Below are 24,985 nucleotides of genomic sequence, written 5' to 3'. Positions count from 1 at the left end.
AGGTGGGAGGATTACTTGAGCTTGGGAGATCAAGGCTGCAGTGAGCCGTGATGGTGCCGCACTGCAGCCTGGACAACAGAGCAAGACCTTGTCTCAAAAAAAAAAAAGATTTTAAAAAGTATCCTCAAAGATTGCTTTTCTTCAAGTTAATCTGCAAATTTTTGGATTCTAGGACAGTATGAGATGTTAACTTCCCACAGTTACTTGTGATAAGGTCTTACTAAGAGAATCGCCTCATTCTAGTTTTAACCTTGTTCTTGGAAGTTTATACCAAATTTTTGTTTGCTTGAAATTCATTCATTTCAGTCTATACCATTTGACTGAATTTCAGAAGGGTTCTGATAAATCAAAACCAGTGTGGTACTAATTACATTCTTTTTTTTCTTTTTTGGGATGGAGTCTCGCTTTGTCACCTAGGCTGTAGTGCAGTGACATGATCTTGGCCCATTGGGTTCAAGTGATGCCCCTGCCTCAGCCTCCTGAGTAGCTAGGATTACAAGTGTGTGCCACCATTCCTGGCTTTTTAGTAGAGCTGGGGTTTCACTATGTTGGTCAGGCTGGTCTCAAGCTCTTGACCTCAAATGATCCACCTGCCTTGGCCTCCCAAAGTGCTGGGATTACAGGCATGAGCCACTGTGCTCGGCCCTAATTACATTCTTTTAAAAACTTTATCTTAATTTTTTTCCCAGATGTTGACCATATTAGCTAAGAAATTTGAGGTCCTGGAAAAATGTTTTAGGGGAAGCAAAAGGTTTGGTATGCGTGTTTTGCTTTTGCTTGTCTTTCAGTTCTTAATTCAGGTGATATGAGACTTTACAGAAGTCAAAATGCCAGAGTAAAAAGGTGGTTATTAAAAATAAAAAACCTCAAATGTCAAAATTAAGTTACTTAAAAGTCTGGTTCTACCATTTACTTTGAGTATTAAACTAGACAGTTGAGATTGTATAACCATCTTTGAAAATGATGGTTGCTAAAGGTCTGGAGGCTCTGGAGGTGATCCATAAAGCCGCTCTTATTAGGTGCTTTCAGGATTTATAAGGCCTAAGTCCTTGTGATAGCACAGCTTATCTTTATTTTGTTTTTAGTTTTTTTTTTTTGAGATGGCTGTCTACCAGGCTGGAGTGCAGTGGTATGATCACGGCTCACTGCATCCTTGACCGTCCTGGGGTCAAGTGATCATGGCTGACTGCATCCTTGAACTTCTGGGCTCAAGCGATTCTCCTAGCTCAGCCTTTTGGGTACCTAAAACTGCAGGTGTGTGCCACCACAGATGGCTAATTTTTTATTTTATTTTCTATAGAGAGGGGTCTCAATATGTTGTTGCCCAGGCTGGTCTCTGAACTCCTGAGCATCCTCCCGCTTTTACCTTCCAAAGTGTTGGGATTACAGGCATGAGCCGCTGCACTCGCCAAAATGATCTTTTTTTTTTTGGACAGAGTCTTGCTCTGTCACTCTGGCTGTAGTGCAGTGGAGCGATCTTGGCTCACTGCAACCTCCGCCTCCCAGGTTCAAGCTATTCTCATGCCTCAGCTTCCCAAGTAGCTGAGATTACGGGCCTACACCACAACACCCAGCTGTTTTGTGTTTTTAGTAGAGACGGGGTTTTACCATGTTGGCCAGGCTGGTCTGGAGCTCCTGACCTCAAGTGATCCACTCGCCTCAGCCTCGCAAAGTATTGGGATTTGGGATTACAGGCGTGAGCCACTGCACCCAGCCCAAAATGATCTTTTATATGAACATCTGTAGCTTTTATTGTTCTACTGTTCTGGTGTAGTCTGTTTTATTGTTGTAACTATCTGAGAGCTGGTAAGTTGAGACCAAAACAACAACAACAAAACAACCAAAATCATGCTTAAAACTGGTTCTTTCCAAGGTTGCATTTTTGTTAAGATCTACTTAATAGTTGATTGGATGATTTTTTTTTTTTCCCCCTCCGGTCTGAGGGATGGTTGCTTCTACTGTATACCACTGTTATCGCCAGTATTTAATTATATTTGTTCTGGTCTGTGAAGTTTGGTAGGAAGGGAAGAAAGAGCTCTGGTTGGCTTTTCTAGATTGACAAGTTAGAAATTTCACTTAAGAGTTAACTGTTCTTTTTATTTTAAAGGACAATTTGATAATGTCAACATTTAAAAACCAAACTACTAGATACACTAGTTAAGTTCACTTCATAGTATCTTCTCTCAGGAAATGTGCCTGCATATGTATACAGAGGAGAAAATACGAGGATATATATTGCTGTAGTTTCACACCCCTCTGCCATTGTAATTGGTCAGGGGAATACTCTGCCTCCACTATGAGAAAATAACCAGCTGTCTCAATAAATGTTATGTATTATTATATATTGTTAGAAAAGCAGGCTGCTGAACAATATTGTTTCTAGTTTAAAAATGCAAAGGAAAACTATTGTTTCTGTAGACATACAGTATGTGTGTAAACTTTGTAAACAAAGTTTTAAAGGATATACAGACACTCCCCAATTTTTCGACTTAATGATGGTGTGAAAATGATAGCTATTCAATATACCCCTCAGTTTATGATGGGACTACATCCAGATAAATATATCATAACTTGAAAACATTGTAAGCTGAAAACACACTGTTGACTCGATTATATTTACGATAGGATTATCTGGATGCAGCTGTGTTACAAATTGAGGAGCATCTGTACATCAAAATTTTATTGGTAACTTTGCCCAAAGGGGGTGGGATTGTGTAGGGTGCTCAAAGGGAACATTTCATTTTATCTGTGCCGAAATTTTTTACAAGAATGTATTACTAATTTGTATAGTTTAAAAAATAGATAACACTGTTTATCGGTGTGATTTGCCTAAATTGAAATAAAAGCAACAAATAGCATTTAGACTTAATTTTCCTTCATGATTTGAATAGAAAATTTGAGTCAGTTGTAGTAAGGAACTTCAGGCAGTCCTGAAAGTCAACTTTTTATTATTAATACAGAGAATAGCTTTGCAGATAAACAGATATTCACAGAAGTATATTAACATTTAACTTCTGATAGCTTTAAATGTGAAAATTACATCATGGCAAGATTTACATGGTATATAACCATCTGTTTGCTTATGTCATGCCCTTTTAAAACTTCTGAATAACTTTTGCAAGTTTCTTCTCAGTGTAGGACTTATTTCATTTAGTTATTTTCATTAATATATGATAGGTGTTAAAAAAACACTAGATGTGGTATTAATGCCAGACAGACTTGGTAATGGAATAAGCCTAGTGAATTTGTGTTTTTTAGTGATAGTAAATGGGAAGTTGGAATTACCCTGCAGAGAAAAATTTCAGAATGAAGTAGGATTTGATAATAATGGGTTGTACATATTTCTTAATAGGTATCTCAGGCCAGTATAGTGGCTAACGCCTGTAATTCAGCACTTTGGGAGGCAGAGGTGGGCAAATCATTTAAGCTCAGGAGTTTGAGGCCAGCCTGGACAACATGGTGAAACCTCACCTCTACAAAAAGTGCAAAATAGGCATAGTGGTGCACACCTGTGGTCGCAATTGTTCATGGAGACTGAGGCAGGAGGATCGTTTGAACCTGGGAGGTGGAGGTTATAGTGAGCCGAGATCATGCCACTGTACTCCAGGCTGGTCTGGAACTCCTGGGGTCAAGCCATCCACCCGCCTTAGCGTCCCAAAGTGCAGTGGTTCTTAAACTTGGTTGCACACTGGGAAAAGGAGGGGTGGGGGTGCTTAAAAATTATTGATGGCTTGATTCCAGTCTCCAAAATTCTGACTTTATTAGGGGAAGGAATGGGCATTGGTGTTTTTGTTTTTGTTTTGAGACAGAGTCTTGGTCTGTCACCCAGGCTGGAGTGCAGTGATGCGATCTTGGCTCACGGCAACCTCCACCTCCCAAGTTTAAGCAATTCTCCTGCCTCAGCCTCCCAAGTAGCTGGTACTACAGTCATGCACCACCATGCCTAGCTAGTTTTTTTTATTTTTAGTGGAGATGGGGTTTCGCCATGATGGCCAGGCTGGCCTCAAACTCCTGACCTCAAGTGATCGGCCCGCCTTGGCCTCCCAAAGTGCTGGGATTACAGGTGCGAGCCACCGCGCCTGGCTGGGCATTGGGATTTTTAATGTGCAGCTAAGATTGCATACCAATGCTTTGAACCCAGTCCTTGTCATCTGTGGTTGTCATGGCTCATTAGCAACAATTCTCTGGTAATTTGTTTTGGTATCTTATGTAAAGTGGTCTCTCCCAGTTTCCCTCTCCCTTTCCTTTGTGACACTTAACACAGTGTACTTTTGGCTTGGTTACTTGTTTGTGGTCCTTCTCCCCTCTACGGTAGTGGGAATGAGCCATCTTGTTCACCACTATATGTCCAGTTGCTAGCATGGGGCTGGTACAGATGGTTGAGCAAATGATTTTCTCACAGGTATGAGCCACAGTGCTTGGCCAAAAACATGTTTTTAAAAAGTCAAACAGGGCTGAGGTGAGGTGGCTTATGCATGTAATCCCAGCCCTTGGGAGGATGAGGGTGGAGGATCACGTGAGACCCCGTCTCTACAAAAAAGTTTGTGAAAATTAGCCAGCCATGGTGGCGTGTGCCTGTGGTCCCCACTACTGAGGTGGGAAGATTCCTGAGCCAAGAAGATCCAGGCTACAGTGAGCTATGATCATACTACTGCACTCCAGCCTGGGTGACAAAATGAGACCCTGTCTCAAAAAAAGAAAAAAAAAGAATCTTTGAGTGCTGCATTGTAGTTAGAACTCTGAAGGTAAGGAAGTAGATACCTGAATGTCCTGTTCGATTTTCATTGGTTTTATGTGACAGCTAACAATTAGTATTTAATTAGATGGCTATTTGATAGGTTTTTAAAAAACTCCTGGTATTGATGATAGGAATGCATATTTTTTCCCTAGGTAACAGGGTGAGATAGCTAATGGATTATAATCATATCTCACTTATTTTAATGGGTTCATAAATGCCTGCAATTTTATCTTAGACTGAGTCTGCCCCTTAAGCTACATTAAGTGTAAGTAAACAAATCTTTGTTAATATTGTTTAATGCCAAATGTATTGCCTTATTTTTGTCTCCCATCTGTAGGCTAAAGAAATCCTGACAAAAGAATCCAACGTGCAAGAGGTTCGATGTCCAGTTACTGTCTGTGGAGATGTGCATGGGCAATTTCATGATCTCATGGAACTGTTTAGAATTGGTGGCAAATCACCAGATACAAATTACTTGTTTATGGGAGATTATGTTGACAGAGGATATTATTCAGTTGAAACAGTTACACTGCTTGTAGCTCTTAAGGTAATTTCAATTTTATGTTGGGGCATGTTGAAATGGGTAAGACAGTCCTCTTGAAAGTTTTTTTTCCCCCAGTTATTTTCTCTATCTGAATGTTAAAACAAAATTCCACATTTAGGAATGCATATGTTCAGGTTTTGGACTTAAAAATCATAGGCGTCTGCGTTCTGAGTAAGGGGATGGTACAGAATCAAAACAAAAGGAGGAGAATGAATGCCTCAGTCAGATTGTTTGAAAAAATAGGCTGGGCGTGATGGCTTATGCCTGTAATCCCAGCACTTTGGGACGCTGAGGTAGGCAGATCACCTGAGGTCAGGAGTTCGAGACCAGCCTGGAGAACATGGTGAAGCCCCATCTCTACTAAAAGTACAAAAAACTAGCCGGGGGTGGTGGCGGGTGCCTGTAATCCCAGCTACTCTGGAGCCTGAGGCAGGAGAATTGCTTGAACCTGGGAGGCGGAGGTTGCAGTGAGCTGAGATTGCGCCACTACACGCCAGCCTGGACAACAGAGCGAGACTGTCTCAAAAAAAAAAAAAGGAAAAGAAAAATGTTAGAGGGCTGGTCAAATAGATATTTTAGTTCAGTAAATTGGGGTATGGAGAGGTAATATAATTAGATTTGTGTTTTTAGATACTTTTGAAGTATTATAAATATATAAACATACCAAATGTCAAAATGTTTTAAATCAGCTGGTCACGGTGGCTCGTGGCTATAATCCCAGCACTTTGGGAGGACAGGACAAAGTGAGCATATTGCTTGAGTCCAAGAGTTTGTGACCAGCCTGGGCAACATAGTGAGACCTTGTCTACAAAAAAATAATAATAATTAACCGAGTGTGGTGGCACAGGCCTGTAGTCCCAGCTACTCAGGCTGAGGTGGGCAGAGTTGCCTGAGCCCAGGAGGTCGTGGCTGCAATGAGACTTGATCTTGCCACCCTACACTCTAACTTGGGGAACAATGAGACCCTGTCTCAAAAAAAAAAAAAAATATCGAGGAAGAAGTTCAAGAAAAAAAAGAATTTTTCTGAGAAATTCAAGAAAACATTTGCTGTAAATATTTAACAGAGAATATTATGTACATTACATACATTATGTATGTACATATGGTTTAGCTCAGTTGAATAGTTTCCAGCCATTAACCATGACAGTAATAATCTAGACTAGGCTGGGTGCAGTGGTTCACGCCTGTTATCTCAACACTTTGGGAGGCTGGGGAAGGCGGGAAGGATCACTTGAGTCCAGGAGTTTAAGAACAGCGTAGTCAACATAAACCCCATCTCTACAAAAAGTTAAAAAAAATAGCCAGGTGCAGTGGTGCATGCTTGTAGTCTCAGCTACTCAGGAAGCTGAGGTGGGAGGATCACTTGAACCTGGGAGGTCAAGGCTACAGTGAGCCATGATGCACCACTGCACTCCAGCCGTGTGACAGAGCAAGACCCCTGTGTCTTTAAAAAACAAAAATCTAGAATGGTAGAAATGATAACCGAAAAAAGCAAGTTCCAAAATTACATGCATTACATGCCAATTGTAGCTTTGCAAAGTGTACTGATGATGATCTGAACATGAAGCAAAAGATGGTAAAGAGCTGTTAGGGTGGCAGGCTTCCGCCTTTCCCTTTAAATAAATTGTTTGACTTTACCTTTACCCAAAAATCTTGGGGAGATTTTTTCCCCCCTAGGCAACAGACTGATTTTTATTATTAAAGAATATTCAAAATGATAAATGGCTGTCACAGACTTTCCTAATATTAGAGAAGCAGTGAGATGTGGTTTTAGCGTGAGCTGAATTTTCTTGATTAATATCTGAATTGTGTAAAGTCCTACGAAATATTTTTGGAGATCGTTATTTTCTGCATCTGTAAAATGAAGGAGTTGGACTAGATGGTGGAAGGTTTCTGCGGTGACTCCAAATACTATGAAAAGAGCTAACCTGTGCTAAAAACCCAGGATGAATCCCAGTGCTCAGAGGAATGAATGTGCTACCTTTAAGAGTATGCAAGCAGCCTGGGCAACCTAGTGAGACCCCATCTCTTCAGAAAACAATTTTAGCCAGACATGGTGACATGTGCTGTAGTCCTAGCCACTCTGGAGGCTGAGGTGGGAGGATTGCTTGAGCCTAGGAATTTCAGGCTGCGGTGAGCTACTCCACTGCATTTGAGCCTGGGCGACAGAGTGAGATCCTATCTGGGGGGAAAAAAACTTACTCATGGAGGTTAATGGGCTGAATTGTAGCCCCCAAAATTCATTTGTCTAAGTCCTAACCCACAGCACCTCAGAATGTGACTGTATTTGGACAGGTAATTAAGGTAAAGTGGGGTCACATGGTTGGACCCTAATCCAGTGTAAGTGGTATCCTTATTAGAGATTAGGACACAGATGGGGAGAAGATAAGACAGATGGAGAAGATGAGCATCCATAAATCAAGGAGAGAGGCCATCAGAAGAAACCAACTGTGCTGACACCTTGATCTTGGACTTCTGCCTCTGGAACAGTGAGGAAGTAAATTTCTGTTGTTTAAGCCACCTATTCTCTGATGCTTTGTTGTGGCAGCCTTAGCAAAAGAATACCGGGGGAAAGGATGTTTCTTTCAGTAAATGGTGCTGAAGCAAATGGATCAGAATGTATCATAGAACTAAATGTAAGAGCTAAAGCTACAAAACTTCTAGAATAAATCAGAAAATCTTTGTCAGGTTAGTTAAAGATTCTTAGATATAACAAAAGCACAGTCCATAAAAAATTGAAAAATCGGACTTTATCAAAATTAAGATTATGTTTTTTCAAAAGATGACACCAGAAAAAAAGTACTTGTATTCAGATATTTAAAAAAAAAAAACTTTTACAGCTCAATAACAAGACAGATAATTGTAAAATGGGCAAAATATTTGAATAGATATTTTACCCAAGAAGATGATACATGAGTGGTCAGTGAGCACATGAAAAGATGCTTGATATCAATTGTAATCAGGGAAATGCAAATTAAAGTAACTGAGTTACTACTTCACATCTATTAGAATGGCTGTAATCAGTAAGGTTGATAATACCAAGTGTTGGTTAATACCGGAGATTAAACTCTTCATGCATTGCTGGTGGGAATATAACATGGTCTAGCTACTTTGAAAAACAGTTTGACTGTTTCTCAAAAAGTTAAACGTTACCAGGTGATCCAACAATTATATTCTTAGGAATCTTCCTAAAAGAAATGAAAGCATATGTCCACAGAAAAACTTCCATGTATATGATTATAGCAACATTATTCATAGTAGCCAAAAACCTCAGTAACATAATTGCCAGTTCATCTTAACTGTGAATAGAGAAACAAAAAATGGTATAGCCATACAGTGAAGGACTGTGCAACTATGAAAAGGAACAAACCACTGATCTATGCCAGAACATGGGTGAGCCTCAAAAATATTCTAAGTGATATTTAGCCAAAAGACTACATTTTGTATTCCATTTATATGACATTTCTAGAAAAGACAAACTCAAGACAGTAAATCAGTGGTTGCCAGGAGCTGGAGTGGGAGTGGAGAGTGACTGCAGGAGGGATCTTTTTGGGATAATGGAAAGGTTCTAAAACTGGATTGTGGTGATTGTTGCATAACTATAAATTTGTGAAAAATTACTGAACCGTAAAGTAATTTATGGGGTTTTAATAGCCCATTGATTTATGTTTGGTATAAAGTTGGTGGTAGAGGGAGTTTGATTTTAGTTGAGATGAGGTGGGCAAACACCCCATGGGCATTTAAAAATTCTGTAGAGCTGTGGTTTTGGTTCACTATGATATGAGGATGTGTGCTGTTTTTTCAACAAAATTGTAACTGCATTTTTTTCTATAGAAAGTTTCTTGAATTTTCATTGGTTTTTGAAAGAGCTAGTTGTTTATGTTTTGCATTTTATTGTTTTAGGTTCGTTACCGTGAACGCATCACCATTCTTCGAGGGAATCATGAGAGCAGACAGATCACACAAGTTTATGGTTTCTATGATGAATGTTTAAGAAAATATGGAAATGCAAATGTTTGGAAATATTTTACAGATCTTTTTGACTATCTTCCTCTCACTGCCTTGGTGGATGGGCAGGTATGTGGATCTAAAACTCATTGCTGATTATTTCAGAGAATCTGCTTTCTTTAGTGTTCAGGTGCTTATGACTCTTTCCACTCTTAACACCCCTTTGGGGATATTTTTTAATAGATATTGATAGCATTCATTCAAACTTAAAAAAAATTTAATTTGACAAATGTGTCCAACTTTTTTAAGTGCATTATTCTTTATATCAGGCACTGAACTGTATGGTGGGATCACAGGGGTGGGTGATGTAGCCCATTTACCCTCTCAGACTGTTTTTGGACAAGTCTGGGAGATGTAAGGAGCTAATTATTGGCCTAGGTAGATGTGCACACAAAAGAACTTACAATAAAATTTTATGAGTATGAAGATACTAGTCTCTGGCAAAGGGCAGGAGTGATATCCAAGAAGTTTTCTCAAAGGAGCTGTTTGAAGTGGAGTCTGGTTGTGACAGCGATGGTCTATTAGGAAGAACAGGAGTGTACTCAATAGTTCAGAGTGGGCTGGAGCAAAGATGAACCCTGCAAAGTCAAGTCTCATTCAGGCAGAGCACAGAAACACCAGAGGGGCCAAGTGATGGGGGTGCCCAGCTCATTTTTTAAAATTTTTGTAGAGACACAGGGTCTTGCTGTGTTGCTCAGGTTGGTCTCAAACTCCTGGCCTCAAGCAGCCCTCCTGCCTCAGCTTCCCAAAGTGCTGGGGTTACAGGCATGAGCCACTGTGCCCAGCCAAGAATGTTTACAAATTTTTTAGGTGAGGTTAACCTTTTAAACCACTCTTTTCAGATCTTCTGTCTACATGGTGGTCTCTCGCCATCTATAGATACACTGGATCATATCAGAGCACTTGATCGCCTACAAGAAGTTCCCCATGAGGTATGACTTTTATTTGATAAAATTCTTTCAGAAAACTTATTAGGGAGTGGAGAAGTTTAATTGTAAGTTCATTAGATGTATTCTCTCATATAATTCTCAAAAACAACTTGAGGTGTGAGCACTCTTGTCTGCCCTGTTGTTCAAAAGAAGCTGACATTAAGAAACCTGCCAAGATCACAACAGCTGTGAAGCTGGGCTTATTAGGACCTGGGTTGTCTGTCTTAGACTCTGAAATTTGCATAATATAGGCAGATTAATTAGGGCATGTTGCTGCTGGGTCCCATGGATGTCAGCTGTGTCTCATAAAGTCTGCTGGAAAATACATCTTATTTGATGCAGATGTTTGACTTCAACTGCACAGTCTATTAGCATTGTCCACAAACATCACTCAAAAAGGGTGGCTTAGGGTGCTGCTTCTGATGAATTACTCAAATAATGTGTTAACCATGTTTGTAAAAGGCATTTTATAACTTGAAGTTATTTTTTAGGGTCCAATGTGTGACTTGCTGTGGTCAGATCCAGATGACCGTGGTGGTTGGGGTATATCTCCTCGAGGAGCTGGTTACACCTTTGGGCAAGATATTTCTGAGACATTTAATCATGCCAATGGCCTCACGTTGGTGTCTAGAGCTCACCAGCTAGTGATGGAGGTATGCTGTGTTCTCTGAAATATGACTTGTTTTTTTAGTAAACTTAAGGAAAGAAGATATTAGGGAGTTTTAAATTAATGACATTTGTGAGAAATTCCATCTATTCCTTCTGATGAGTTTATCATTATAGCCTGAGCCTTTTCAGTAGATGCACACTACTAGAATTAAAAGCTCAAGCTTTTGATTACAATGAATCCATTAACATGTTTTCAGAGAAATCTGAATGACTAGGAAGTACTTGAGATTTAAGAGTGGGAAAGTAAGATATAGGGAGTTGGTGTGCATGTATGATATTTTATGATCCCAATGTTATTTCGTATATTTAATGTATGTATGTAGGAGAGACTGGAAAGAAATACACGAAAATGTTTTAAGTGGTCCTTTGGATGCTAGGATTACAGGTGATTTGAAAGAAGGGAAAGAGGCAAAGGTTCTTGACATGGCACACTGATTAGAATATTTTTAAAATAAGGTCCTAATTAGATTAATACTAGTACAACTCTGTGGTTATCAATAAAATCTGACTTTGCTAAAGGTAAAGAAATTGTGAACAATACTAAACAAAAAGTAACAAAAGTAGCTCATGCATTCAGGTGGATGGACTTTGAGGAAATGAGGCTGGAGATCCTAGAGGCATATTGCATTTGTTCCTGGGCAGTGACCAACTTAACAGGCCTTTACCTGTGACTGACAAAATTGGTAAGGTTCTGGTCTCCAGGATTAAGTATCTACTTCTCTAGGGAATGGCCACTTAAATACTTATTCTTAAATCATGTTTTAAGGCCACTGCAAGAGAAGAGGCTAATGAGACATTGTCATTTACAGCAAGGCAGATACATGAGAAGTATTTCATTCTTTGGTGGTTGCTGCTGTTTGTTAAAGCCTTTTTTTTTTTAAAGTACTAAAAAAAAAACAAGTTTTGTAATTAGGGGGAAAATAAATACATGTGTACCTTACAGGTTGTATAAAGTACAGGAGATTATTAAGTCATCCAGAAAAAAAGCATTAACATTTCTTAAGCCCCTTTGGCAGGGGTGGGAATGAGTAGAGATTTTTTTCTCTCTTGAGTGAAGTAACATTTAGTTGAATTGAGGGAGTAAAGTAAGATTTTTGTCTCCTTTTCCTTGCAGGGATATAACTGGTGCCATGACCGGAATGTAGTAACGATTTTCAGTGCTCCAAACTATTGTTATCGTTGTGGTAACCAAGCTGCAATCATGGAACTTGACGATACTCTAAAATACTCTTTGTAAGTAATTCTACCTGAACATTTTCTTGCATTACTGAATATGTAGGGTTTTGGTTTATTTATTTTGAGAGAGAGGGTGTCACTATATTGCCCAGTCTTGTCTCGAACTCCTAGGCTGAAGTGATCCTTTCACCTTGGCCTCCTAGAGTGTTGGGGTTACAAGTATAAGATACAGTGCCCAGCCTGAATACATAGTTTAAATGTGAGGTTTAAGAGTTTAAGGGGGCCAGGCGCGGTGGCTCATGCCTGTAATCCCAGTACTTTGGAAGGCTCGGGTGGATCACCTGAGATCAGGAGTTCGAGACAAGCCTGACCAACATGGTGAAACCCCTTCTCTACTAAAAATACAAAAATTAGCCCAGCATGGTGGCGCCTGCCTGTAATCCCAGCTACTCAGGAGGCTGAGGCAGGAGAATGGCATGAATCCGGGAGGCAGAGGTTGCAGTGAGCCAAGATCGCGCCACTGCGTTCCAGCCTGGGCAACAGAGCGAGACTTCGTCTCAAAAAAGTGTTTATTAAGGGATTATGCTATGTCAGATTCCAACTTTTATTTTTAAGTTTTGTTTTTTTTTTAATGGATCTACATTGAAACACACCAACAGGAACTTATTATATATAGATCTTCGTATGAATTACTAGGTTTTTCACTTTTAAAACCATGTTTTGTGTTTTTTTGTTGTTTGTTTGTTTTTTGAGACGGAGTCTCACTCTGTCACCCAGGCTGGAGTGCAGTGGTGCGATCTTGGCTGACTGCAAGCTCTGCCTCCCGGGTTCACACCATTCTCCTGCCTCAGCCTCCCGAGTAGCTGGGATTACAGGCGTCTGCCACCACGCCCGGCTAATTTTTTTGTATTTTTTTAGTAGATATGGGGTTTCACCGTGGTAGCCAGGATGGTCTTGATCTCCTGACCTCGTGATCCGCCCGCCTCAGCCTCCCAAAGTGCTGGGATTACAGGCGTGAGCCACTGCGCCCGGCCAACCATGTTTTGTTTTGTTTTGTTTGAAATTTCAGTCAAGGTAAAAACCATGTTTTTATAAAAGCATAGTCTCTGTGGCTGAAGTTGCCTTGACTCTTTCAAGGGGAGTACAGTTAACAGACCATTATCATTAAGGTTCTGTTACATTAAGACAAGCCAAAATTGAATAGGAAGTGTAAAGTTTGGAAGACTCATGTTCTTGATCTTGATTGTCACTACATGGAGGTCGTGGAACATAAACCATGAATCGGTCTTGTTTTTCAGCTTGCAGTTTGACCCAGCACCTCGTAGAGGCGAGCCACATGTTACTCGTCGTACCCCAGACTACTTCCTGTAATGAAATTTTAAACTTGTACAGTATTGCCATGAACCATATATCGACCTAATGGAAATGGGAAGAGCAACAGTAACTCCAAAGTGTCAGAAAATAGTTAACATTCAAAAAACTTGTTTTCACATGGACCAAAAGATGTGCCATATAAAAATACAAAGCCTCTTGTCATCAACAGCCGTGACCACTTTAGAATGAACCAGTTCATTGCATGCTGAAGCGACATTGTTGGTCAAGAAACCAGTTTCTGGCATAGCGCTATTTGTAGTTACTTTTGCTTTCTCTGAGAGACTGCAGATAATAAGATGTAAACATTAACACCTCGTGAATACAATTTAACTTCCATTTAGCTATAGCTTTACTCAGCATGACTGTAGATAAGGATAGCAGCAAACAATCATTGGAGCTTAATGAACATTTTTAAAAATAATTACCAAGGCCTCCCTTCTACTTGTGAGTTTTGAAATTGTTCTTTTTATTTTCAGGGATACCGTTTAATTTAATTATATGATTTGTCTGCACTCAGTTTATTCCCTACTCAAATCTCAGCCCCATGTTGTTCTTTGTTATTGTCAGAACCTGGTGAGTTGTTTTGAACAGAACTGTTTTTTCCCCTTCCTGTAAGACGATGTGACTGCACAAGAGCACTGCAGTGTTTTTCATAATAAACTTGTGAACTAAGAACTGAGAAGGTCAAATTTTAATTGTATCAATGGGCAAGACTGGTGCTGTTTATTAAAAAAGTTAAATCAATTGAGTAAATTTTAGAATTTGTAGACTTGTAGGTAAAATAAAAATCAAGGGCACTACATAACCTCTCTGGTAACTCCTTGACATTCTTCAGATTAACTTCAGGATTTATTTGTATTTCACATATTACAATTTGTCACATTGTTGGTGTGCACTTTGTGGGTTCTTCCTGCATATTAACTTGTTTGTAAGAAAGGAAATCTGTGCTGCTTCAGTAAGACTTAATTGTAAAACCATATAACTTGAGATTTAAGTCTTTGGGTTTTGTTTTAATAAAACAGCATGTTTTCAGGTAGAGCTTAAACTAAATGATGTGTTTACTTAGTGCAGTTTCTGGTTATGAATATTATATTGCTATGTGTATATTATATGGACTCTTTAAAATGATTGACAGATTGGCAAATTCTTAAATCTTTGTACATTGTTGAGTCATATGTTCTTAGAGTTAAATTTGTCTCAGATAAGAAAGTGTTAAAGCATTAGCCTGTGTCAAGTTCTTTGAGTGATACTAGTGAAACCAAATAGAAAACTATTGTTGGATCATGATTTAGTCTTATGTACATTCACCCGAAGACAAAAATGGTACTTAAAGTGGCAGTGTTCAACATTTAATGAGTTTTTCCCCTTTTATCCTTCGAATAGGATTAGATGTTTAAAAAAAAGTTCTTCTGTGGGAACTAATATTTGATATTTTAACCTACCAGAGTAAACAGGAACACTTAATCATACTTGTGAGTGTAGTAAATAAAAGTTTTCTTGCTTTGTGCTGTGTTGAATCTGGAACCAACAGGGAAGTTATAGCATATCCCCTTTCTAAAATGCTTGAGGAACACATACATACCGAATGTCTTTTCTGATCTAATTGATAGTATTTTTAGTGGCTTGTGGAGTTAATTTTCCAAAGCAAAAGGCCATTAGGGTTTCTACATTTCATTTCATTTCATTCTTTTCTTTCACAAGAAATACATTCTCTGTGTGTCTTTTTGTTGCTCTGTCACTCTATGCCCTTTCTCTCCGACTGAACAAATAGCTTATCCATGTGCAGTGGTTTTAATACCCAAACAATCTAGACACCAAGCAGCTATTTTTTCCGGTCCTGTGATATCAGAATTGACCAAGGAATACGTATATTGTAATTGACACGTGGTGGTATCTTCCAGGTACAAATTCTCTAAATTTTGTGGTTAGCAGAATGGGACTTGTGATAAGAATAGCTTGGTTTTAGCATAACTAGGGTTTAAAATAATTGTTTAATTATAGAGACTGACCGGGCTTTGGCCATCTAAACTGGAAAGTGTTAGTACCCTACCTTCTTTTGAAAATGGCTATGGTAAGGAAAATGTGTTAGTAAATTATGTATTTTCTTGAAAAATACATAATTATGGTTGGATGGGAATCACTAAGTTGGGTGTTAACTGATGTCTCAATTAGTAACATTAGGATTTTCATTAATAAACCTAAAAAGCTTTCCCTAAGAACAGGCCTGGCACAGTGGCTCATGCCTGTAATCCCAGCACTTTGGGAGACCAGGGTGGGTGGATCCCTTGAGGTCAGGAGTTGAAGAGCAGCCTGGCCAACATGGCAAAACCCCATCTCTACAAAAAATATGAAAATCAGCCGGGCTTGGTGGCATACCATAGTCCCAGCTACTTGGGAGGCTGAGGTGAGAGGATCGCCTGAGCCCAGGAGATGGAGGTTGCAGTGGGCTGAGATTGTGCCACTGTACTCCAGTCTGGGTGACAGAGCCAGACCCTGTCTCAAAAATAAAGAGGATTCTGAGTTTGTATAGTGAGGGCTTGCAGAAATTTTGAAACTTATTTTGTAAGTTTACAATGAATTTGTACATGATGTGCTCATGTCTTGGGTTGAGTATCCTAGACATGATTTTTTCATTTGCTGCATATTAAACATTTGTTGGTTGTAGTCGGTATTTCTTAAATAGAAGTTTGTCAATATTAGATTAGTTTCAAGAAGGACTTAGCTCAGGAAAAGGATAGTTATTTCTGTGGTTCTCAGCTTTGATGCCTACAGAGATTCTGATTTAAATTGCTGGAGGAGGGCCCAGGCATACATTTTTTAAGTTTCCCAAGTGATTCTAATTTACATCTAGGGTTAAAAACAGCCAGGCGCGGTGGCTCATGCCTGTAATCCCAGCACTTGGGGAGGCCGGGGTGGGTGGATCACCTGATGTCAGGAGATCGAGACCAGCCTGGCCAGCGTGGTGAAACCCCATCTCTATTAAAAATACAAAACTGACCGGTGTGGTGGCAGGAGCCTGTAATCCCAGCTACTTGGGAGGCTGAGGCAGGAGAATCACTTGAACTCAGGAGGAGGAGGTTACAGTGAGCCCAGATCGTGCCATTGCACTCCAGCCTGGGCAAAAAGAGCAAAACTCCATCTCAAAAAACAAAAACACCTCACTGCTGTTTCCTAAGTACATACTTAAGAAAATTGGGATACATGGTGGTGGTTCATGGATGTTGATAAGGAATTAAAATGTACCGTGCGACTCTCTGTTTCAGTGGTGACTTTTACCTGTTTAGTATAAATATTCCTTTGCTTCCAACCATAAATGTGTTCTTAGAAATGGGCCTATAGTTTAGTAACCTATAGTTTGGTAATAGGCTTGTTTGTTTTCAGATGGATTTTGGTTCTGTGAGCTAAAGCTATTTTGCATTAAAGCCTTCGTCCTCACACATTGTTTTGACATATTTCTAGTCTTCATAAACTTTTTTAATTTAGATTTTTTTCCCTTCACAAGTATACATCTGTTTTAGCAAATAGCCTTATGAAGGTTGTAGATGTATTATTTTGGGCATGCCTGGTGATTTCTATATTTTTTCCAATTACATTTAAAGCTTTATGTTTTAGGAATATAAGTACATTTTATTTCTACTTTTTATTATATATATTTAATTGCACAAGTACTACTGTCTAGAAAAAAATGGGATGTTGCTAACACAGCATTGTTGGCTTGTAGGCAGTGCTGTCCTGTAAATAGATTGAAATGTATTTTTATCAGCTGGTATATAAATTTGAGGAAAGAAAAATGTGGACTGTGTTTGAATTGTTTAAAAGTTGAACATACAAAGATCAGTGGTAACCAAGTAAGTGATATAGGCAACAGACCCCAGTTTGTTTTGTATTTGCTGTCATGCCTGGACCAGAATTCCTCATTCCCAAGAGTGAAAGAGGAAATAATTATAGCTAATGAGTGAATGCTGGAAAAAGTCACACTTTTTTGTTTTTTAAGGAAAAGCACAAACCCTCATGTCTGAGGTTGAATTTAATTAAGTGCAGTCGGCCCTCCATAGTCAAGGGTTCCACATCTGAGAATTCAGCCAACCATGGACTGAAAATATTTTTGGGAAAAGGAACCAATAAAAACCAATACAGTGGCCAGGAGCAGTGGCTCATGCCCATAATCCCGGCACTTTAGGAGGCGGAGGCAGGGGTGGGGGGATCACCGGAGGTCAGGAGTTCAAGACCAGCCTGGCCAACATGGTGAAACCCCGTCTCTACTAAAACTATAAGAATTAGCTGGGCATGGTGGCGTGTGCCTGTAATCCCAGCTACTCAGGAGGCTGAGGCAGGAGAATCACTTGAATCTGGGAGGTGGAGGTTGCAGTGAGCCAAGATAGAGCCACTGCACTTCAGCCTGGGCAACAGAGCAAGACTCTGTCTAAAAAAAAAAAACACAGTATAACTATATACATAGCAATTTCATTGTTTAGGTATTATGAGTAATCCATAATTTAAAGTATAGCCAGCCATCAGTATCCACAGAGTTTGCATCAAATGAGTCAATGGAGTCAACCAACCTGGGATTGAAAATGCAGTGTTCTTTTTTTTTTCCCCCTGAGACGGAGTCTCTCTCTGTCACCCGGGTTGGGGTGCAGTGGCACGATCTTGGCTCACTGCAACCTGTGCCTCCCGAGTTCAAGCAAGTCTCCTGCCTCAGCTTCCCAAGTAGCTGGGATTACAGGCGTGGCTCACTACGCCCAGTTAATTTTGTATTTTTAGTAGAGACGGTTTCACCATGTTGGCCAGGGTGGTATGAAACTCCCAACCTCAGGCGATCCACCTGCCTCAGCCTCCCAAAGTGCTGGGATTACAGGCATGAGCCACCGCGCCTGGCCAAAAAATGCAGTATTCTTGAATGCAGAACCCACTGGTAAAGGGGACTGACTTCCAGACTTGACTATCCAAGGGAGGTGTCCTGGATCCAGTCTCCCAAGATTACTGAGGGATGACTAGTTTGTATCCTCAACAGGCTTGTGAGAAGTAGCCAGGATTTTGTCTACTCTGCGTACGATGCTGCTAATGCTGCAAACCACTGCTCTTATTTTACTACTTGGGTCCCTTCGGAATCTATTTTGAGATAGCCTCAGCCATGGTGTACAATCTTCTCAACCATTCAGTGTTGTTAGTGGGAAGGACTTTAATGTGTTCTTCCTGCTGGGCACAGTGGCTCCCGCCTGTAATCCTATCACTTTGGGAGTCCGAGGTGGGTGGATCACTTGAGCCTGGAGTTGAAGATGAGCCTGGCCAACATGGTGAAATCCTGTCTCCACTAAAAAAACAACTAGCTGGGTGTGATGGCACTTACCTGTAGTACCAGCTAGTTGGGAGGGTGAGACTAAATCGCTTGAAACCGGGAAGCAGAGGTTGCAGTGAGCTGAGATCGCGCCATTGCACTCCAGACTGCGAGACTCTTGTCTCGAAAAAATATATTTTTAAAAGCTTTCTTCCAAGAAATAATTTAGCTGTTCTTCCTTAGTGCAGTGGTAGGCTGTAGCCACCAGCAAGCAAGATTACTGATGGTGGAAGTCAAAGGCCAGAATCGTGATAGGAAGTTAAGAGTGCTTGCTCCATAGAACACTATGGAAGACCACAATGGAATGTCTAATTAAAGCTATTAGAAATGCCCAAAGCTGTTGAGTGCCTCTACCTCAAGGCTTAGCATACCTTCTGATCTGCAAGGAGACTAATCATTAGGCTTTTTGCAGTTCTAGAACTGCTCTGAGTATGGCATTGGAACCTGGGGATAGGAGCAAGAGCTAGTAATTGGGTTTGGCAGGCCTGGTCAAAGGGGAGCTTTAAGGTCAGGTATATCCAAACATATCAGAAAGTAGGTTACATGGTGTGGTGAAATATACCAGATGTAAAATCTGCAGAATGTACTCCTGCTGTTGAGTCCAACTTGCAATGTAAGTCCCTTTGCAGTGAAGGTCTTGAGTATGTATTGCATGCAGCAGGCAGAGGAGCGGGAGGAGAAACTGTATAATGTATTTGGTCTTGAACATCCTTTGTTTTCCAAAACCACATTCATCTCTACCTTGGTTGAAATGTATAAAACTACCATTTTAAGTTTCATCTTTTCATTGATCTATGACTAAAATTAGGATGCAAAGACAAACCCAAGGCTTAGCCCACTGCTCCTCCTCAGAGCTGCACTGAAACTGGTTGTAGGGTAAAGGGATGTAGGCAATTTAAATATGAGTCAAGATTTTTGGGATGGCAGTATGGCTCTCATGGCCTCTGGAAGGATCCAGGTGATGTCCGACCTGGTATGGCCTCTTGGCCTGTTGCCACCGCACCAGGTTTTGCCCTTAATTTTAGTCTTGGCTCTGGATTTCTTTAGGGTATTGTGATAGCTTTGTTGGTCTTTGGGTTTTTCTAGTTTCACCACAGATCCTAGGAAAAATAACCATACTCTAGAAATGAGAAGCCAGGATTTTTAAAGTAGGGCTGGGAATATGAGTAGACATCTTTTGGATTTTCAAAATGTATTTGCTTAAACCACCTTTTGGCAGCAGTTGGACATTTCTGCTATCTACCTGAGTGGCAGATGGCCTACAGCATTTGGTATGTTAAAAGAGTATAGAGTAAGTGATTCATGGCTTCTGAAATACATCAATTTGACGTTGCAGTCTTGAAAAGGCAATAGCTGACATATCCTGAACCAGCTTGGGTTTCCAGTGCACTCAGTGCTGAAATAATTGCTGTGAAGGGTTGAGTTGAATTCACAATGACTTAGGACAGTAGTAGCTACTGAATGTTCAATCTTTGAAATGACAGAATTAGCTTATAGTGAATATTGTCTAGCACTGAGCATTTCCATGTGCCAAGCATGTTACATGAATTATTGAGTTTTCTCAACTCTGTTGAGAAGAGCAGAGAAGGTTCTGCTATTCAGGCATTCTGATCGCAGAGTTCCTGATTTTCAGGAAGCATTAGGTTTCTCTTGCCTTTGCTGAAATTCTTATTAGTGGTGTTTGAAGGGTGGGCAATAGCCTACACAGCTTTAGGGTTTAGATGTGTCGCTTAGCCCCATTCAGGAAGCTAGGTGTGTGATGGGCCCTTTGGGGAGTGTGTGGTGAGGAAGGCTTGCATGCTGGGCCTTTTGAGTGTTGGCCCAAGTCAGGTAGCCTGGTTACAGCATTCTCAAGAGTTCATGGACTGCCGGGCACAGTGGCTCACGCCTGTAATCCCAGCACTTTGGGAGGCTGAGGCGGGTGGATCACAAGGTCAGGAGTTCAAGACCAGCCTGGCCAAGATGGTGAAACCCCACCTCTACTAAAAATTAAAAAAAAAAAAAATTAGCCAGGTGTGGTGGCGGGCACCTGTAATCCCAGCCACTCGGGAGGCTGAGGCAGAGAATTGCTTGAACCCGGGAGGTGGAGGTTGCAGTGAGCTGAGATCGCACCACTGCACTCCAGCCTGGGTGACACAGTGAGACTCGTCTCAAAAAAAAAAAAAAAAAAAAGAGTTCATGGACTAACCTTTGTGTCTCAAGGGCATTTATTTGAGCCAGAGTTTGAAGGGGAGTTAGGTGAGGTTCAGCTGAACCACCACAGCCTAACAATTGCTCTTGAAGATAAAAGAATTTTCACAGTGGACCCGCATTAACAAATACTAAAGGAAAACCAGAAAGTATATATGGAGTGGAGCACCCCATCCCTAACTTTTAAAAATTCATCTAAGTGGCATAATTCCTCCATTTTTTATCTGAATTCCCAACTGAATTGTGGGTTTTCTTGAATGACCTGAGTTTTTTAGACTCTTTTATAAACTTCTGGGATTCTGTACAAGACTACTGGAAACTAGTCAGCTCTTTAGGCTGACAGTTGTAGTAATGAATGAAATCTCATGCTAGCCTGTCATCACCTGACCATCTTCCCCTCCTTCTGAAGACCCTTACCTTCTAATCTGAGAGGAGCCAGAAGCCAAGACCAACTTACTTTCTTGTCTGGTGTCCTGATGGCCAGTTAACAAATTCTGATACGGAGGACTTGACCCTATGAACAATGCCCATCTCTAATCTGTATGAGTGCACATTCTTTTTAAAAAATGGATCTTTTCTACTCGTATTAATATAAAATACATGCTTGTAGTAAAGCAATAGAGATGAATACAAAAAAAGTTTCCCCTCCAGCCTTATTGGTCTGAGGTGGTTACTACTAATGGTTGTGGATGTTTTCACAGTCATATCAGCAAGTCTGCTGTGTGTAGGGTGGTTGTGCTCTAGTCTTCCTTCATGATGATGTGTATTAAATTGTTTCTCTGGGAGCAATACTCCTCGCCCTTTTAAAACAAATGGTAACAGACACCATTCCGCACATAGCATATTTTCATTTAGCATCTTTGGTATTAACCAGTGTGAGCTTTTATTTTTAAAGTAACAGTAGTGAGTTGGTGGAAGTATGATGGGTTCCTGAAGTAGTTAAACATGGAGGCAAAACTAAGTAAACTCACCAGCTTGTTAATGTGTGGCCACGGTTGGGCACAGCTCCAATATAGGGTGACCAGTTGACCTGGTTGCTTAGAACTTGAAGGTTTTCCAGGAAGCAGATCTTGCTTTCTTCTTCTTCTTCTTCTTTTTTTTTTTTTTTTTTTGAGATGGAGTTTCATTCTTGTTGCCCAAGCTGGAGTGCAATGACACAATCTCGGCTCACTGCAACCTCTACCTCCTAGGTTCAAGTGATTCTCCTGCCTCAGCCTCCCAAGTAGCTGGGATTACAAGTGTACGCCACCACACCTGGCTAATTTTTTGTATTTTTAGAAGAAATGGGGTTTCACCATATTAGCCAGGCTGGTCTCAAACTCCTGACCTCAGGTGATCCACCCGCCTATGCCTCCCAAAGTGCTGGGATTACAGGCGTGAGCCACTGCCCCAGCCAGTAGAGCTTTGAAACCAGAACAGTTGGTCACCCCCAATGTGGGTTCTGTGCCTTTCCCACCCTTATCAACCAGACAAAATCCAGGCTCTGCTTTGGCTCTCAGCTGGGATCTTGGGGGTGGGGAAGTGGTAACTGGGCGAATTTACTCAGACCTGAGCTCTAAGACTACCTGCTGCCTGGCTTGCAGTCATGCATCCACAGGAACCAGTCTTTGCATTAAGTCTATAACTGAGACCCCCAGCTCCCAAGGTTCCAAGGTTTGTGCTACATGCTCTCGTTTGTGAGGACTCCAAGGCTTCTTAAGTCTCAAGGCAAAGGACAGGAAGGCAAAGATCTAAGAAGGAGAACAGAGGGTTAAATTTATTAGAATAGGAAGAAAGGGGTGAAGCAAGGTGGGTGTGTGTTGAGGGGTGAGAGGTTCTAGCAAGAGGGCTTAGGTCTTAGCCAGGGTGTATGTAGTAAGGGGCTGCTGCCATCTGGGAGAGCACAGCAAGTGAAGTGGGCAAGAAGAGATGTTGCCATGGTATTTGAGTAACTTCCACTGGGTAAGTAAGCCACCACCAGGCACCAGCTGAGCTGAGTGGTATTCAGCAGCTACTTACTGTGCACCTGTTATGTGCCAGGCATTAGGCACAAGCGGTGTACAAGACAAAGTGCCCTTGTGCAGTGAACACCCAAGAGAGACAAATATAAAACTCCAATAGGAATAATGTACTATGAAGAAAAAGCAAGACAGGAGGCCAGAGGGTAAAAGGAGGTACCCTTCTAGCCAAAACTTCCACATACTGTTGTGCACATTGCTTACTGCCCAACTCAAGTTTGTGAATTTTGACAATTTTTTTGGCTGATGGCAATCGTATGTCTTGATGTGATGGCTGTTAAATTTTTAAAATAAGTTTTAATGTAAATTTAACGTACTATTTAGGCTGGTGGTCTCTGAGGAGGTGACACTGAGCTGAGACCTAAAGGATGAGAAGGAGCTATTCCTTCTCACCAATCTGCATTAGATGCTGTTTATCACAAGGTGAAAAATCACTTGTTTTGAAAGAGAATGCGGAAGTGTAGTTTGTAGAAAAGCACTGACCATGACCTGATAACATTCCTAGAAATTTCCGCCATCTGGGGCAGCGGTGGGGAAGCTGCTGTTTGAGAGACTGCTGTAGTCCAGGCTGTGCTGTTCTGACCAGAGCCTGCTGCCTACAGCTGAGTGGCAGGATGTGGCTAGAGGAATGGACACAGCTGTACTGGTGGGACTCACACAAATGTCAGATGGACCAGTTACTGCTGGATAGTCCTCTACACTTCCTTAGATTCTTGGGCTTCAAAAGGACTGATTAACACGGTCTCTTCTCAAATTGCCACCTCCTCTCTGTACTCTATAACACTTATAACCTCGCCAATATTAATACTTCAGGGCACAGTCGATAGTGTCTCTCTTCTTCCTGCCATCACATTCAGCAATCTTTTTTTTTTTTTGAGACGGAGTTTCACACTTGTTGCCATGCTCGAGTGTAGTGGCATGATCTTGGCTCACTGCAACCTCCGCCTCCTGGGTTTGAGTGATTCTCCTGCCTCAGCCTCCTGAATAGCTGGGACTACAGGCGTGCGCCACCACGCCCGGCTAATTTTTTGTATTTTTAGTAGAGACGTGTTTTCACCATATTGGCCAGGCTGGTCTCAAACTCCTGACCTCAGGTGATCTGCCCGCCTCAATCTCCCAAAGTGCTGGGATTACAGGTGTGAGCCACCCCTCCCAGCCAACATCCAGCAATCTTTCTGCAGCTGTACCTCTATCCTTGGCCTCCTCAATTGGATTATTCCTATCAGCATACAACATGGCTCTGTATCTTCAATCCTAAAAACAGACTCCTTTGACTTCACAGTCCCTTTAAGTGCCTGCCCTTTTTCTATACTGCTCTTAGCAAAGCTCTTTGAAAGAACTGTGTCCTCTGTCCACCTTCTCATATCACACTTTTCTCAACACACCACCCCACTGAAATTACAGCTTTATCAAGGTGATTTTCCCATTGCCAAGTATAGTAGATGTTTTTTCTGACTTTAATTTTGTTTTTAGCATTTGAAATGATTGACCAAAACAATTTCCCAGATATAGTTTCTTTCCTTGTCTACCATTACACTACATTTGCTTGTTTTCCTCCTACTTTTTTTTTTTTTTTTTTTTTTGAGAAGGATTCTTCCAGGCTGGAGTGTAGAGGCATGATTTTATCTCACTGCAACCTCAACCTCCCAGACTCGGGCGATCTTCCCACTTCAGCCTCCAGAGTAGCTGGGACTATAGGCGTGTGTGACCATGCCCAGCTAATTTTTAAATTTTTTATAGAGACTGGATCTCACAATGTTGCCCAGGCTGGTCGTGAACTCTAGAGCTCAAGCGATCCTCCTGCCTCGGCCTCCCAAAGTAGGCATGAGCCACGGCGCCTAGCCCCTCCTGCCTTTTTGACTGCTGCTTTCCAGACTCCTTTGCCAGTTCTTCCCATCCTCTAAATATGGAAATGACCCAAGGCTTAGTACTCACACGACTTTTTCTCTCCTCTTCCAGGTGATCTCATCTAGCCCTGTCTATATGCTGAAGAGTCCCAGTTTGTATCCTTAGCCCAACTTC

The 24,985-nt window shown here is 41.0% G+C and overlaps 1 protein-coding gene across 3 annotated transcripts in view; it reads left to right on the top strand.

Annotated features, from left to right (window-relative positions):
* The window catches only part of PPP2CA (protein phosphatase 2 catalytic subunit alpha), a 31,742-nt gene extending 14,867 nt beyond the window's left edge, over positions 1-16,875 (top strand). For 2 of the 3 annotated variants that reach the window (NM_002715.4, NM_001355019.2), the window contains exons 2-7: positions 5,076-5,285; positions 9,186-9,359; positions 10,133-10,222; positions 10,711-10,872; positions 12,003-12,121; positions 13,363-16,875. In NM_002715.4, coding sequence (NP_002706.1) covers positions 5,076-5,285; positions 9,186-9,359; positions 10,133-10,222; positions 10,711-10,872; positions 12,003-12,121; positions 13,363-13,435 — 828 coding nt within the window. In that variant the 3' untranslated portion in view covers positions 13,436-16,875. Of the gene's footprint in view, positions 1-5,075; positions 5,286-9,185; positions 9,360-10,132; positions 10,223-10,699; positions 10,873-12,002; positions 12,122-13,362 lie in introns of all 3 variants that reach the window. The other variant, NR_149151.2, reaches the window with a different exon arrangement.

This window comes from Homo sapiens, chromosome 5 (genome assembly GCF_000001405.40).
Source record: "Homo sapiens chromosome 5, GRCh38.p14 Primary Assembly".
NCBI classification, from domain to species: Eukaryota; Metazoa; Chordata; class Mammalia; order Primates; family Hominidae; genus Homo; species Homo sapiens.
The sequence above is the reverse complement of the archived record's forward strand: the minus strand, read 5'-3'. Positions and strand labels throughout refer to the sequence as shown.